Below are 15,363 nucleotides of genomic sequence, written 5' to 3' on the forward strand. Positions count from 1 at the left end.
GAAGCTTCTACAGGCATATCTTGGAGATATTGTGGGTCTGTTCCAGACCACCACAATAAAGTGAATATCACAATACAGCAAGTGACACAAATTTGCTTTCCAGTGCATATAGAAGTTATATTACACTGTAGTCTATAAACTGTGCACTAGCATTATGTCTAAATAAAAGTACATATCTTATTTTTAAAATATTGCTAAAAAACGCTAATGATCAGCTGAGCCTCCAGCAAGTTGTAACCTTTTTACTGGTGGAAGGTCTTATCTTGATCTTGATGGCTACTGGCTGATCATACAGTGGTGTCAGCTGAAGGCTGGGGCGACTCTGGCAATTTTTTTTTTCTCACTTTTTTTTTTAACATTTATTTTAAGCTCAGGAGTATATGTGCAGCTTTGTTATATTGGTAAACTTGTGTCATGGGGGTTTGTTGTACATATTATTTAGTCACCAAAGTATTAAGCCTCGTACTCATTAGTTATGTTTCCTGATCTTCTCCCTCCTCCCAACCTTCACCCTCTTGTAAGCCCCAGTGTCTGTTGTTCCCTTCTATGTGTCCATGTGTTCTCATCATTTAGCTCCCACTTATAAGTGAAAATACCTGGTATTTGGTTTTCTGTTCATGTGTCAGTTTGCTAAGGATAAATGGCCTCCAGCTCCATCCATGTTCCTACGTGTTCTTTTTTATGGCTACATAGTATTCCAGGATTTAGCTGTATCACTTTTTCTTTATCCAGTCTATCAGTGATGTACATTTTGGTTAATTCCATGTCTTTGTTATTGTGAATAGTGCCACAATGAACATACACGTGCATGTGTCTTTATGACAGAATGACTTATATTCCTTTATAACAGCATGGTTTATATTCCTTTATGACAGAATGATTTATATCCTAGTAATGGGATTGCTGGGTTGAATGGTATTTCTGTTTTTAGGTTTTTGAGGTATCTGTCTTCCACAATGGTTGAACAAATTTACATTTCTACCAACAGTGAATAAGCATTCCTTTTTCTCCACAACCTTGCCAGCATCTGCTATTTCTTGAATTTTTAATAAAAGCCATTCTGACTGGTGTGAGACAGTATCTCACTGTTTTGATTTGCATTTCTCTAATGATCAGTGATGTTCAGCTTTTTTTCATATGCCTGTTGGCTGTGTGTATGTCTCCTTTTGAAAAGTGTCTGTTCACATCATTCACCCACTTTTTTTTTTTGTTACAGGGCACATGTGAAGGATGCACAGGTTTGTTATGTAAATGTGTGTCGTGGTGGTTTGCTGCACCTATCAACCCATCTTCTAAGTATTAAGCTTAGCATGCATTAGCTATTTTTCCTGATGGCTCCCTCCTCCTGACCTCACCTTGACAGCCCCCAGTGTGTGTTGTTCCCCTCCATTTCCATGCATTCTCCTTGTTCAGCTCCCATTTATAAGATCATGTGGTGTTTGGTTTTCTGTTCCTGCGTTACTTTGCTGAGGATAATGGCTTCCAGCTCCATCCATGTCCCTGCAAAGGACAGGAACTCATTCCTTTTTATCCTGTGCCCACTTTTTAATGGGGTTTTTTTTTCTTGTAAATTGGTTTAAGTTTCTCATAGATGCTGGATATTACACCTTTCTCAGAAGCATAGTTTGCAAAATTTTTCTCCCTTTCTGTAGGTTGTCTGTTTACTCTGTTGATAGTTTCTTTTGCTGCACAGAAACTCTTTAATTAGATCCCATTTGCCAATTTTTGCTTTTGTTGAAATTGCTTTTGGTGTCTTCATCATAAAATCTTTGCCTATGTCCAGAATGGAATTGCTTAGGTTGTCTTACAGGGTTTTTATAGGTTTGGGTTTTACATTTAGTCTTTAATCCATCTTTAGGTGATTTCTGTATATGGTATAAGGAAGGGGTCCAGTTTCAGTCTTCTGCATATGGCTAGCCAGTTATCCCAGCACCATTTATTGAATATGGAGTCCTTTCCCCATTGCTTATTCTTGTCAATTTCATCAAAGGTCAGATAGTTGTAGGTGCAAGGCCTTATTTCTGGGCTCTCTATTCTGTTCCAATGGTTTATGTGTCTGTTTTTGTACCAGCACCATGCTGTTTTGGTTATTATAGCCCTAGAGTATGGTCTGAAGTCAGGTAGCATGATGCCCTGAGCTTTGTTCTTTTCGCTTAGGATCTTCTTGCGTTTTGGGCTCTTTTTTGGTTCCATATGAATTTTTACATAGTTTTTTTTCTAGTTCTGTGAAGAACGTCATTGGTCATTTGATAGGAATAACACTGAATCTATAAATTGCTTTGAGCAGTATGGCCATTTTGACAATATTGATTCTTCCTATCCGTTAGCATGGAATATTTTTCCATTTGTTTCTGTTACCTCTGATTTCTTTGAAAAGTGTTTTGTAGTCCTCCTTGAAGAGAGCTTTCACCACCCTGGTTAGCTGTATTCCTAGGTACTTTATTCTTTTGTAGCAATTGTGAACGGGATTGTGCTCTTGATTTGGCTCTTGGCCAAACTGGTATAAAGCATTTCTAGTTTAGTTACTGTCGTTGGTCTAAAGTAATGCTAGTGATTTTTGTACCCTGATTTTGTATCCTTGGACTCTGAAGTTGTTTATCAGCTGAAGGAGCTTTTGAACCAAGAATATGAGGTTTTCTAGATTTAGGATCATGTTGTCTGCAAACAGAAATAGTTTGACTTCCTCTCTTCCTATTTGGATGCCCTTTATTTCTCTTGCCTATTGCTCTGGACAGGACATCCAATACTATGTTGAATAGGAGGTGTGAGAGACAGCATCCTTGTCTTGTGTCCGTTTTCAAGAGAGATGGTTCCAGCTTTTGCCCACTCAGTATGATGTTGGCTGTGGGTTTGCTATAGATGGCTCTCATTATTTTGAGGTGTGTTCCTTCAATACCTAGTTTATTGAAAGATTTTAACATGCAGGGGTGTTGAATTTTATCAAAAGCCTTTTCTGTATCTACTGAGATAATCATATGGTTTTTGTCTTTAGCTCCATTTATGTGATGAATCACATTTATTGAATTGTGTATGTTGAACCAACTTGTATACCAGGGATAAAGCCTACTTGATTGTGGTGGATAAGCTTTTTGATGTGCTGCTGGATTTGGTTTACCAGTATTTTGTTGAGGATTTTTGCACTGATATTCATCAAGGATACTGGCCTCAAGTTTTTTTGTTGTTGTTGTGTCTCTGCCAGGTTTTGTTATCAGAATGATGTTGGCCTCATAGGATGAGTTAGGGAGGAGTCCCTCCTCAATTTTTGCAATAGTTTCAGTAGGAATGGTATTAGCTCTTCTTTGTACATATGGTAGAATTTGGCTCTAGTTCTGTTTGGTTGGTAGGCTATTTATTACTAATTCAATTTTGGAGCTCATTATTGGTCTGTTCGGGGTTTCAATTTCTTCTTGGCTCAGTCTTGGGAGGATGTATGTCTCCAGGAATTTATCCATTTCTTTGAGATTTTCCAGTTTATGTGCATAATGTTCTCTGATGGTTATCTGTATTTCTGTAGGGTCAGCAGTAATATCCTCTTTGACATTTCTAATTGTGTTTATTTGGATCTTCTAGTTTTTCTTATTAGTCTAGCTAGCAGTCTACCTATTTTAGTAATTTTTTCAAAAACCCACTCCTGAATTCATTGATATTTTGAATGTTTTTTTTCATGTCTCAATCTCAGTTCAGCTCTGATTTTGGGTATTTCTTGTCTTCTGCTAACTTTGAGGTTTGTTTGCTATTGGTTCTCTAGTCCTTTTGGTTGTGATGTCAGCTTGTTAAACTGAGGTATTTCTAACTTTTGATGTGAGCATTTAGTGCTATAAATTTCCTGCTTAACACTGCCTTAGCTGTGTCCCACAGATTCTGGTATGTTGCATCTTTTTTTTTTTCTCACATGCTCAGCTGTCCAAGGTTGGCTTCCCCACTGCACACTCGAGTGGTATGTTGCATCTTTGTTCTCAATAGTTTCAAAGAACTTGATTTCTGCCTTAATTTTACTATTTACCCAAAAGTCATTCAGGAGTAGGTTATTCTATTTCCATTTAAATATATGGTTTTAAGTGGATTTCTTAGTCTTGTTTTCTAATTTGATTGTGGTGTGGTCTGAGAGGGTGGTTATTATAATGAGCCTAGTACTCATTATACAGCATTTGGTGAGGAATGTTTTGTGTCCGATTATGTCATTGATTTTAGAGTATGTACCATGTGGCAGTGAGAATAATGTATACTCTGTTGCTTTTGGATGGAGATGTCTGCAGATGTCTATCAGGTACATCTGGTCCAGTGCTGAGTTCAGGTCCTGAATATCCTTGTTAATTTTCTGCCTTGATGATCTGTCTAATATTGTCAGTGTGGTGTTGAAGTCTCTCACTATTATTTTGTGGTTATCTAAGTCTCTTCATAGGTCTCTAAGAACTTGCTTTATGAATCTGGATGCTCCTCTGTTGGGTGCATATATATTTAGATTAGTTAGGTCTTCTTGTTGAATTGAAGCCTTTACCATTATGTGATATCCTTTTTGTAATCTTTGCTGGTTTAAAGTCTCTTTTGTCTGAAATTAGGATTTTTCTGTTTTCTGTTTGCTTGGTAGATTTTTCTCTGGCCCTTTATTTTGGGCCTATGGGTCTCACTGCATGTGAGATGGGTCTCTTGAAGACAACGTACCAATGAGTCTTGGTTCCTAATCCAGCTTGCCACTATGTGCCTCTTAATTGGGGCATTTCACCCATTTTTTAAAATCTTTTTTGTGTTAAATATTTCTTATAATTCCTTTTATTTTTTACTTTTAACTTCAGAAGTACACGGGCAGGTTTGTTACATAGGTAAACTTGTATCACGGGGGTTTGTTGTACAGATTATTTCATCACACCGGTATTAAGCTAGTATTCATTAGTTATTTTTCCTGATCCTCTATTTTCGCATACCCTCCATCCTCCAGTAGGTCCAAGTGTGACTTGTTCCCCTCTATGTGTCCATGTGTTCTCACCATTCAGCTCCAATTTATAAGTGAGAATATGCAGTATTTGGTTTTCTGTTCTTGTGTTAGTTTGCTAAAAATAATGGTCTCAGCTCCATCCACATTTTTGCAAAGGACATGATTTCATTCTTTTTTATGGCTGCACAGTATTCCATGGTGTATATGTACATTTTCTCTATCGAGTCTATTATTGATGGACATTTAGGTTGATTCCATGTCTTTGCTATTGCGAATAGTGCTGCAATGAACATACATATGCCTGTGTCTTTATGACAGAATTATTTATCTTCCTTCCAGTATATACCTGGTAATGGGATTGCTGGGTCAAATGGTATTTGGTTTTAGGTCTTTGAGGAATCACCACACTCTCTTCCACAATGGTTGAACTAATTTATACACCCATCAACAGTGTATATGCATCCCTTTGTCTCCACAACCTTGCCAGCATCTGTTATTTTTTTGACATTTTAATAATAGTCATTCTGATTGAGAATTATATCTCACTGTGGTTTTGATTTGCATTTTTCTAATGATCAGTGATGTTCAGCATTTTTCATGATTGTGGGCTATATGTATGTCTCGTTTTGAAAAGTGTTTGTTCATGTCCTTTGCCCACTTTTTAATGGGGTTGTTTTTTTCTTGCAAATTTGTTTAAGTTCCTTATAGATGCTGGATATTAGACCGCTGTCAAATGCATAGTTTACAGAAATTTTCTCCCATTGTGTAGGTTGTCTGTTTACTCTGTTGATAGTTTCTTGTGCTGTGCAGAAGCTCTTTCATTTTATTAGATCCCATCTGTGAATTTTTTATTTTGTTGCAACTGCTTTTGGCATGAAATCTTTGCCCATGCCTATGTCCTGAATGGTACTGCCTAGGTTGTCTTCCGGGGTTTTTACAGTTTTTGATTTTACATTTAATCCATCTTAACTTTTCTATATGGTATAAGGAGGGGGGTCCAGTTTTAACCTTCTGCAAACGCATTTAGCCCATTTACATTCAAGGTTAGTATTTATATGTGTGGGTTTGATCCTGTCATTATGATGTTAGCTGGTTATCATGCAGACTTGTTTGTGTGGTTGCTTTATAGCGTCACTGGTCTGTGTACTTCCGTGTGTTTTTTAGTGGCTGATAACTCTTTTTCCATATTTAGAGCTTCCTTGAGAAGCTCTTGTAAGGCAGGTTGGGAGGTAATGAATTCCATCAGCATTTGCTTGATTGGAAAGGATCTTATTTCTCCTTTGCTTATGAAGACTCGTTTGACAAGATATGAAATTCTGGGTTAGAATTTTTTTAGGAATGTTGAATATTGGTCCCCAATCTCTTTTGGTTTGTAGGGTTTCTGCTGAGAGATCTGCTCTTAGTGTGATAGGCTTCCCTATGTAGGTGACCTGACCTTTCTTTCTAGCTGCCTTTAACATTTGCTCTTTCATTTTGACCTTGGAGAATCTGATAATTATGTGTCTTGGGGATGATCTTCTTGTGAAGTACCTTACTAGGGTTCTCTGCACTTCCTGAATTTGAATGTTGGCTTCCCTACCTAGGTTGGAAGTGTTTCCATGGATGATATCCTGAAATACATTTTACAAGTTGCTCATACTCTCCTCATCTCTTTCCAATCAGGGACATCAATGGGTCACAGATTTGGTCTCTTTACAGAACTCCATATTTTTCAGAGGTTTTGTTCATTCATTTCCATTCTTTATTCTCTATTCTTGTCTGACTGTCTTATTTCAGAAAGCCAGTCTTCAAGCTCTGATTCTTTCCTCCTCTTGTTCTGCTCTGCTATTAATAATTGTGACTGCACCATGAAATTCTTGTAGTGTGTTTTTCAGCTCTATTAGGGTGGTTATGTTCTTTTCTACACTGGCCATTGTGTCTGTCAGCTCCTGCACTGTTTTACTGTGATTCTTAGCTTCCTTGGATTGGGTTTCAATGTGCCCTGAAGCCCAGTGATCTTTGTTCCTATCCATATTTTGAATTTTATTTCTGTCATTTCAGCTATCTCAGCCCAGTTCAGAACACTTGCAGTTGTTTATAGGAAAGAAGGTACTCTGGCTTTTGAGTTGTCAGTGCTCTTCTGCTGGTTCTTTCTCATTTTTATGAGCTGGTGCTTCTTCAATCTTTGAAGTTGCTGACTGTTGGATGTTTTTATTTTCCTTTTATCTTACTTGATGACCTTGAGAGTTTGTGGTATAAGGTGGATTTAGTCTACTGGTTTGTTTCTGGAAGGTTTTAGGGGGCCAACACTCAGCTCCCAACCTCAGGACTGTGTGCTCATAGTGCAGTGGCAGCAGCATTCTTCCTCATTTGCATATGCCAGCAGCAGTGACAGCGCAGCAGGGTACATGCTCATCAGCTGTGACAGGGTACCAGTGGGTTACTGGGTGCCTGCCTCCGTGCAGGTGTTCACCACAGTGGTGGAGACAGCAGGGTTCCAGAGGTTGGGGACCCCTGCTGGTGATTATTACACATGATTGTGCTGTCTTGGGGATGCATAGGGGCAGGGTGCTGGTGGGTACAGGTCTGTATGCATTCTCTGTGAACTGCATGAAGGGGTGGTTTCTCAGGGTAGGGGAGGGTCTGCTGTTCTCTGTGCCTAGTTTCACTTCTGTGTCAGTGTTGGTGCAAGGATGTGGTGCTAGTGGGAGTGGGGCTGATTTTCCATGGGTCCACCAACACTCTGACTGCAATGGTGGTCTGGCAGGGGAAGAAAGAGCAGAGTGCAACCCCACTGCGGCAGTGGCAGAGGAGGGTGCACGCACACAGGCACACTGACAGAACAAAGGTGGCAAAACCTGCTCCCATACACACGTGCTGGCAAAGCAATGTGGGAGGTTGCTTTGGGCCCTGGGGAAGTGGCTGTGCGGGGAGGGTGTGGGTGGGCTGGTGTGTGGCTGTGGGGGTTGCTCTGCTGGAGCTCTCCACTAGTCAGGCAGGGTCCACCAGTGCAGAAGCTATGATGTGGGCCCCCAGGGTACCCGAGGCTGCCCTGCAAGTAGGTGTGGCCAGGCTGGGACCTAGGAGAGGCCAGCACACCAAGTGGTGCTCAGATCAGACTGGCGCCATATGGTGGGTAAGACCACCCTGCAGAGTTCAGGTCCAACAGTTCCCCTAGGGCTAAGGTCTCCTATGGGAGCAAGTCGAGCCTAGGGAGATGGGCTTCCCTGGCAGTGCTCTACTACAGACACTCCCACACCAAGAGCTCTGGGCTCCACTTCAGCTGGCATGAGGCTCCTACCACTTCTCTAAGCAGCCAGAGGCCCGTGGTGAAAGTGGCTTGCTCCTTGCCAGTTCAACTCACCAGTTCCCCTGGAGTCTTTAAGGGCCAGGAATGAGTCCCGGTGCATGGTAATCCTGTGCAGAATTCCAAGCTTCCTCCCACTTCAGCCCAGCTTCTGTGTCTTCCTTCCATCTACTCTCGGTGCCTTCCCTCTGAATATCTGTTAGGAGTGTGCGCCAGTGTCTTGGTCCATCAGTGGTAGCTGTTCTTCCTGGGTCCATCTGGTTGGCCATCTTGCTCTCTCCCTGCAATTTCTTAACTAAAACAGCATTAATCAACTCTCCTTTAAAGAAATAGCATGGGATGCCATTTAGCATTTTGCCCATAGTAAGATTTCCTTCAAAACTGGAGTCAATCTTCTCAAACACTGCAACTGCTTTATCAACTAAGTTTATGGAATATTCTAAATCCTTTATTGTCATTCCAACAATATTCACGGCATCTTCACAAGGAGTTGTTCCACCTCAAGAAACCACTTTCTTGATCACCTATAAGAATCAACTCCTTATCTATTAAAGTTTTATTATACGACTGCAGCAATTCAGTCACATCTTCAGGCTCCACTTCTAATTCAAATTTTGCTGTTCACACCACATCTGCAGTTACTTATTCCACTGAAGTCTTGAACGACTCAAAGTCATCCATAAGGGCTGGAATAAACTTTTTCCAAACTCCTGTTAATGTTGATATTTTGACCCTCCCCCATGAATCATAAATGTTCTTAATGACATCTAGAATGATAAGTCATTTCCAGACGACTTTCTATTTATGCAACCCAGATCCACCAGAGAAGTCACTATCTATGGCATCTATAGCCTTATAAAATGTAGTTCTTAAATAGCAACACTTGAAAGTCAAAATTAAACATTGATCCATGGGCTACAGCAACGGTGTTGTGTTGGCAGCCAGGAAAACAACATTCATCTCCTAGTACATCTCCATCGGAGCTCTTGGGTGATCAGGTACATTATCAATGAGCAGTAGTATTTTAAAAGAAATCTTTTTTTCTGAGCAGCTCTCAACAGTGGGCTTAAAATACTCAGTAAATGATGCTGTAAACAGATGTGCTGTCATCCAGACACATTGTTGTTCCATTGATAGAGCACAGGCAGAGTCAACTTAGCATAATATTTAAGGGCCCTAGGATTTCTAGAATGGTAAATGAGCACTGGCTTCAACTTAAAGTTACTGGCTGTATTAGCCCCTAACAAAAGAATCACCTTGTCCTTTGAAACTTTGAAACCACGTATTGACTTCTCCTCTCTAGCTATGAAATTCCTAGATGGCATCCTCTTCCAATAGAAGGCTGTTTTGTCTACACTGAAAATCTGCTGTTTAGTGCAGCCACCTTCATAAATTATCTTAGCTATATCTTCTAGATAACTTATTGCAGCTTCTACACAAGCACCTGCTGCTTCACCATGCACTTTTACATTAGGCTCCTTCTCATGAAGCAACCTCTGCTAGCTTCAAACTTTTCTCCTGCAGCTTCCTTACCTCTAAGACTTGACAGAATTGAAGAGAGTTAGGGCCTTGTTCTGGATTAGGCTTTGGCGTAAGGGAAAGTTATGGCTGGTTGGTCTGATCTTCCATCCAGACCCCTAAAACTTTCTCTTTTTTTTGTCAAATAAATATAATCCTTTATTAAATGAAATTTTACAAGAACAGTTTAACCCCTAAAACTTTCTACATATCACAATAAAGCTGTTTTGCTTTCTTATCATTTGTGTGTTCACCGGAGTAGCAATTTTAATTTACTTCAAGAACTTTTTCTTTATACTAAAAGCTTGATTATTTGGTACAAGAGGCCCAGCTTTCAGCCCATCTTAGTGTTAGAGATGCCTTCCTCATTAAGCTTAATCATTTCTACCTTTTGAGTTAAAGTGACAGATGTGTGACTTTTTCTTCTACTTGAACACTTAAGAGGCCACTGTTGGGTTAGTAACTGGCCCAATTTCAATATCCTTGTGTGTCAAAGAATAGGGAGGCCCAAGGAGAGGAAGAAGACAGGGAAACAGGTGGTCAGTGGCGTAGTGAGAACACACACATTTGTCAATTAAGTCCCCTGTCTTATATGGGTATGGTTCATGGCACCCAAAACAACTGCAATAGTAACATCAAAGATTACAGATCACCATAGCAGATATAATAATAATAAAAATAAAGTATGAAATACTGTGAGAATTAACAAAATGCGATAGAGATACCCAGTGAGCACATGCTGTTGGGAAAATGGTTCTGATAAATTTACTGGATGCAAGGTTGCCACAAACTTGCAATTTGTAAAAAGCACAATATCTGTGAAGTGCAATAAAGTGAAGCACAATAAAACAAAGTGTGCCTGTTATGTTTATTCACAGCTAAGCCTATTTTCAAGGAAGATGATGGTCAGCACTCACCAGAAAGGCTGTGCTAATATAGCTCTCTTGCTATGCAAACCATTGTGGCAGGGTATGCTAAATTCTACACAGGCAGCAGAACCTTCTGTAGAAACTATGGGAGGATGTGAAACAGAAAAGAAAGCAAAAAATCTCAAGTGGTGAATCCACAAAAAAAATTAAGGTAGCACAAATCAAAAATGAGAAACCAAGTGGAGACTAGGGGCCCTGTGGAAATAACATTATGATGACAAATTCTTCTGTGTCTAAACCTTTGTGGATTTCTGGCTAGGATTATTTCTAATAGCAATACTTTGTGTTCTCATTCCTTTCTCCTTTTCATCTACTCAAAAATAGTACATCAAATTATTAAGCAAAGAATAAAGTTAAAAATATGTTGTTTTTTAAATCTAATAAACAAGCTATTTGACAATTCAGGAACATGAAGTTGACCATTATCAATGTAATTACATTAACCTTGTGCCAACTGAGTCTCCTCCTCCTTCCCTAATTTCTCTCTTCATAGCAATCAGAGCTTTCCCTAGTATTTTTTTAGTGTGTGACCTACATCTGAGTTTCCCAATTTGCTTTGGTGGAGGGAATCAAAAAGTCAGTTTCTACATCCAATAAAATCTACCGCTGAGATTTTGGATTGATATAAAACTGAGAGGAAGAAAAAAGTGGAGGTGGTTTTGTGGCTGCCTTGGAGAGGTTCAATTAATATCTTGGCAGAGATTCCCAGCTATCCTGGAAGTTTTCCCTACCTTGGGAGTCTTGGTAAAATGCTATACAGGTAATTCCCCTCAGAGGCTGGACTGGAGAGGTGATTTAAGCCAACTGGGAGTCAACTACGAACCTTACATTGGAGAATAAAGTCAAACAGCTATAAATATATAAGGTCTCCACCCCAGATGAATCAAAGTCATCCCACCCCTCTTAAGTGTCTTCATAATAATTCTGTGATGTGGTGGTTTAGAGTACAGGCTGAATGACAGAAGATATATTCTCATCTCAGCCCTTATACATACTTGCACAATGTATAATAACCAAATTACTTAATTTACCTGAGTCTTGCTTTTCTATCTACCAAATCGGGAAAATAATACCTACTTCATAGGGTTGTGAGAATAAAATGATGTAAGAATTAAACAAAATAATGTACGTACGAGTTTGCCACAGCAGTTAGCATCTAGCAGATCTTCAATACAACCTAAAATGCAATCTATTTTATCCTTTTCCATTCTTCTGAATGATAAAAGTCATCAAATAAATGATAATGATGATAAATATGATCATTTTGGACTGGATGTGTATGTCTCCCCAAAATCAACATTTTGAAGCCCTAACCCCAAGTATAACTGTATTTACAGATGGGGCCTCTAAGGAAGTGATTAGGGTTAAATAAGCTCATAAGGGTGGGACCCTGGCTCTAATAAGATTGGTGGCCTTATAAGAAGAGACACCAGAGAGCTTCTGCTCTCTCTCCTTCCACATGCACACACTGAGGATAGGCAACGTGAGGACATAGTAAGAAAGTGGTCATCTGCAAGCCAGGACAGGAGAAACCAAATCAGCTGGCACCTTGCTTTAGGTGCCATGAGGAAATAAATTAATGTTGCTTAAGCCACTTTGGAACCATGAGAAAATAAATTAATGTTGCTTAAGCCACCCAGTTTATACTATTTTGTGACAGCATTCCAAACATACAAATATAATGATGATGATGACAAACGCCTTATTCCAACAAAGGAATAGACTAGATAAGGAATGATAAATTATATTTACTAGATGTTTGTTTTTTGTTTCAACTTTCCCTTGCAGGTCACTTTGGTGTTGCTGATGAAGGCACATTAGCAAACTGGGCCCAATCACTGTACATTTTTGCAGAGGCTATTGTTCTAATTAAAATCTAATGCCCTGAGCCACTAATGATGACAGGACAGTTTTCAGATCCAAGACCACTAAGGCTCCAAGAAGAGCTAGATATTAGAGGAAGTTTCAGGAAGAAATATGGTCTGACTACATTAAGGAGCCGAGTCAAAGTCAGAGTGCACAGGTTACAAGTAATCTAGGGTTGGGAGTGGAGGGATGGACAGTCTGGAGGAGAAAACAAAAGTTGTAACAACAACAACAACAGTGACAGCTGTCAGTGTTTCTGCTCTATGCAGGCATTACTGAATTATTTCCAATCCTCCCTGAAGCACTGCAAGGTAAGCATCTTCATTCTCATTTTATTCTCTTTATATAGAATGTACAGAAATGATACTTTGTAACCCAAATCTGATACAGATTTTGATTCATAACCCAAATCTGATTCATGAAAGGGAATTCTCTGTTGTTCAAAAACAAAATAATACCAAGTTTTTTCATTTGTACCTGCTCCAGTTGTGCTCCCCTTTCAGTAAATGTATCTCCAAAGTCCCACCTAGAGATAAAATATCAATACATGTTAAACAAGAATTAAAGTAAAAGTGTGCATTTTTAGATAGTTCCTCTAAACAGCTAAGCTGCTCTGGAAATACCTCTTAAAGTTTATAAATCATTTCCCTAAAAACACCCACGAGCAGCTCAAATAACTCAAGAAACAGGAGAGAGGAAACAAGAAGACTGAAAGAAGACTTGAAAACCTAAAAGCCCCAAGTCCAACTTCAGCGAAGAGAAGTAAAGTCCAAACAACAATGTGAATTGGCAGGGTGTTGACGGGGCTGCCCTCTGGGCCACAGTAGCAATCTCATACTCAAATTGTCATCACTAGCCTTTTATGTTAATCTTTCTACCAGCATTTGGTAATCTGATATAATCACAAGGAAAAAGTGCTTATTCCCCCATACGGTGAGGAAGTCCCTGCCCTTTGGAATTTTGTCTGCCATAGAACTGAACATATTATCACAAATCTGTTTTTCTTACAGTGAAGAGCCATTTATATATTCTTAATTAGTTTGTTTCTGCCTGTATTGAGAGGAATTATCTTTTACCAAGAAGCCCAAAAGAAAAACTATTTCATTTCCTCATGACAGACATTAACACATGGCATTCTAAGACAAATAAACATGTTACACTTTTACAACAGAAATAGAGAAAAAATCCTTTCCTAATTAATTTATAATTAGTTTTCTCTTCTGGAGCTCTAACTTGTATTGGACTTTGAGTAAGAAAAAAAAAATCCTTAAAAAGTAAAAGTTCAACTTTGGTTCTATCAGGTTTGATATCCAGAAGAAAATGCAAACTTCCATTGATTACACTGCAAAACATCTACTACTCTAAGGACAATGGCTGTTTAAACGCCTGAAATAAAGAATCAAGAGTGGACCACACTTGAAGAAGCTAACAGGTAGTAAGGCACTTTTCAAACACAATGGGATGGTTAACATAAAATTAAGAATGCATAGATTTCATAACTATTGCTGGTAAAAAGAAAATGTAAACAAAAAAATAGAACTTACTGCTCATTTATTTAAAACATTAAGTAACAAATTATAGAAATGTCATGTAATAGTTTCATATTTAAACCTTCACAATATTTATTTATAAGGGGAAAATTTATATTTTTAGAAATACTACTCTCTTTAAATGATGCCCAGAAATCCTACTAAAAATCTACTCTGTAACTTAATTCTACGGAGCCATTTTAGAAATATTAAAAATATGACCACCCCTAGTTAAAATGTATACTTTCCCCCAAAAAACTTCAATTTTAAGAACTACATTTATTTTTGTACAAGCAATATACACACACACAGTAATCACTTAAAGTGTATGACGGGATATCAATGGATGAATCTGGAGAAATAGGACTCTTTATCTCCAATCACACATTGTAAGCATGGATATTGGCCTCTCACTAGAGTTTTATTACTCAGATTATTTCCAATAAATAAAATGTCTTAAAAACAACATAATTGGGATCAATTTAGTCCCAATTTCCATGTCATAAAATCAGACTCCAATCCTTCTTCAATACAAGAAGCTTACTTTTCATTTACCTCTAAATTCACGATCAGTGACCACAGGGTTGAGATGGAATTGCTGAGAGTATAAGCTGCTGCCTGGGGTTGGAAGTAAGCAATCTTTTCTTCTTTCTGGGAATACTAATGCTTGCTAGAACTCTGCCAAAACAGGGGTTCTCAGCCCTTGCTGCTTCCTAGAACCCTTTCGGCTTTTAAAACCTACTGATGCTTGGACCCTGACACCACAGCTTAACAAATCAGAATCTCTAGAAATAGGGCCTGAGCATTGTTATGTTTATAAAAGCTTCCCACAGAATTCTAATGTGCTGCTGGGGAAGAGACCACACATATATAAGGCTTTGAGATGGATGGATGTTACATATAGTCAGCTTATTATTGTTGACATGGTGGTGAACCAACAGGGTTGAGTGGAAGAAAAATGAGGGTAAGTTTCCATGATGAAGTGATAACTACTGGAGAAGGCTCTATCTATAGATATAAGAAGATGGAGTCAATAGTCAGGAGACTGTAAGTCCTGGGGATGACTTCATAACCAGCAAGCTGTATGAGTTCAGGCAAGTCATCTAAGTCCCCGGGGTACAGAACTGAGGGAGAAAGGAGGGTGGAGGGCCCACCACTCCCAACCAAGGCAGCCATACCTGTATTTGTTTTATATGTTAGGCTTCTGTGTGAAACTTCACTTCATGAAAGAGTTCTGTGGCCAAAACCAGTTTGAATACAGCCGATCTAGATGTTCTTTAAGGTCTCTTCTGAGATAATTTT

At 38.9% G+C, this 15,363-nt stretch overlaps 1 long non-coding RNA gene and 1 other non-coding gene across 5 annotated transcripts in view; both read right to left on the bottom strand.

The window, feature by feature from the left end:
• Nucleotides 1-15,363, bottom strand: part of MIR31HG (MIR31 host gene) — a 105,531-nt gene that overhangs the window by 66,150 nt on the left and 24,018 nt on the right. The gene's annotated exons all lie outside the window — the stretch shown is intronic.
• LOC124900282 (small nucleolar RNA SNORD55/SNORD39) lies at nt 3,890-3,965 on the bottom strand. Its single transcript, XR_007061913.1, has one exon. It is a non-coding gene; the product is annotated as a small nucleolar RNA SNORD55/SNORD39 (small nucleolar RNA).

Source organism: Homo sapiens, chromosome 9 (assembly GCF_000001405.40).
Source record: "Homo sapiens chromosome 9, GRCh38.p14 Primary Assembly".
In the NCBI taxonomy this organism is placed as follows: domain Eukaryota; kingdom Metazoa; phylum Chordata; class Mammalia; order Primates; family Hominidae; genus Homo; species Homo sapiens.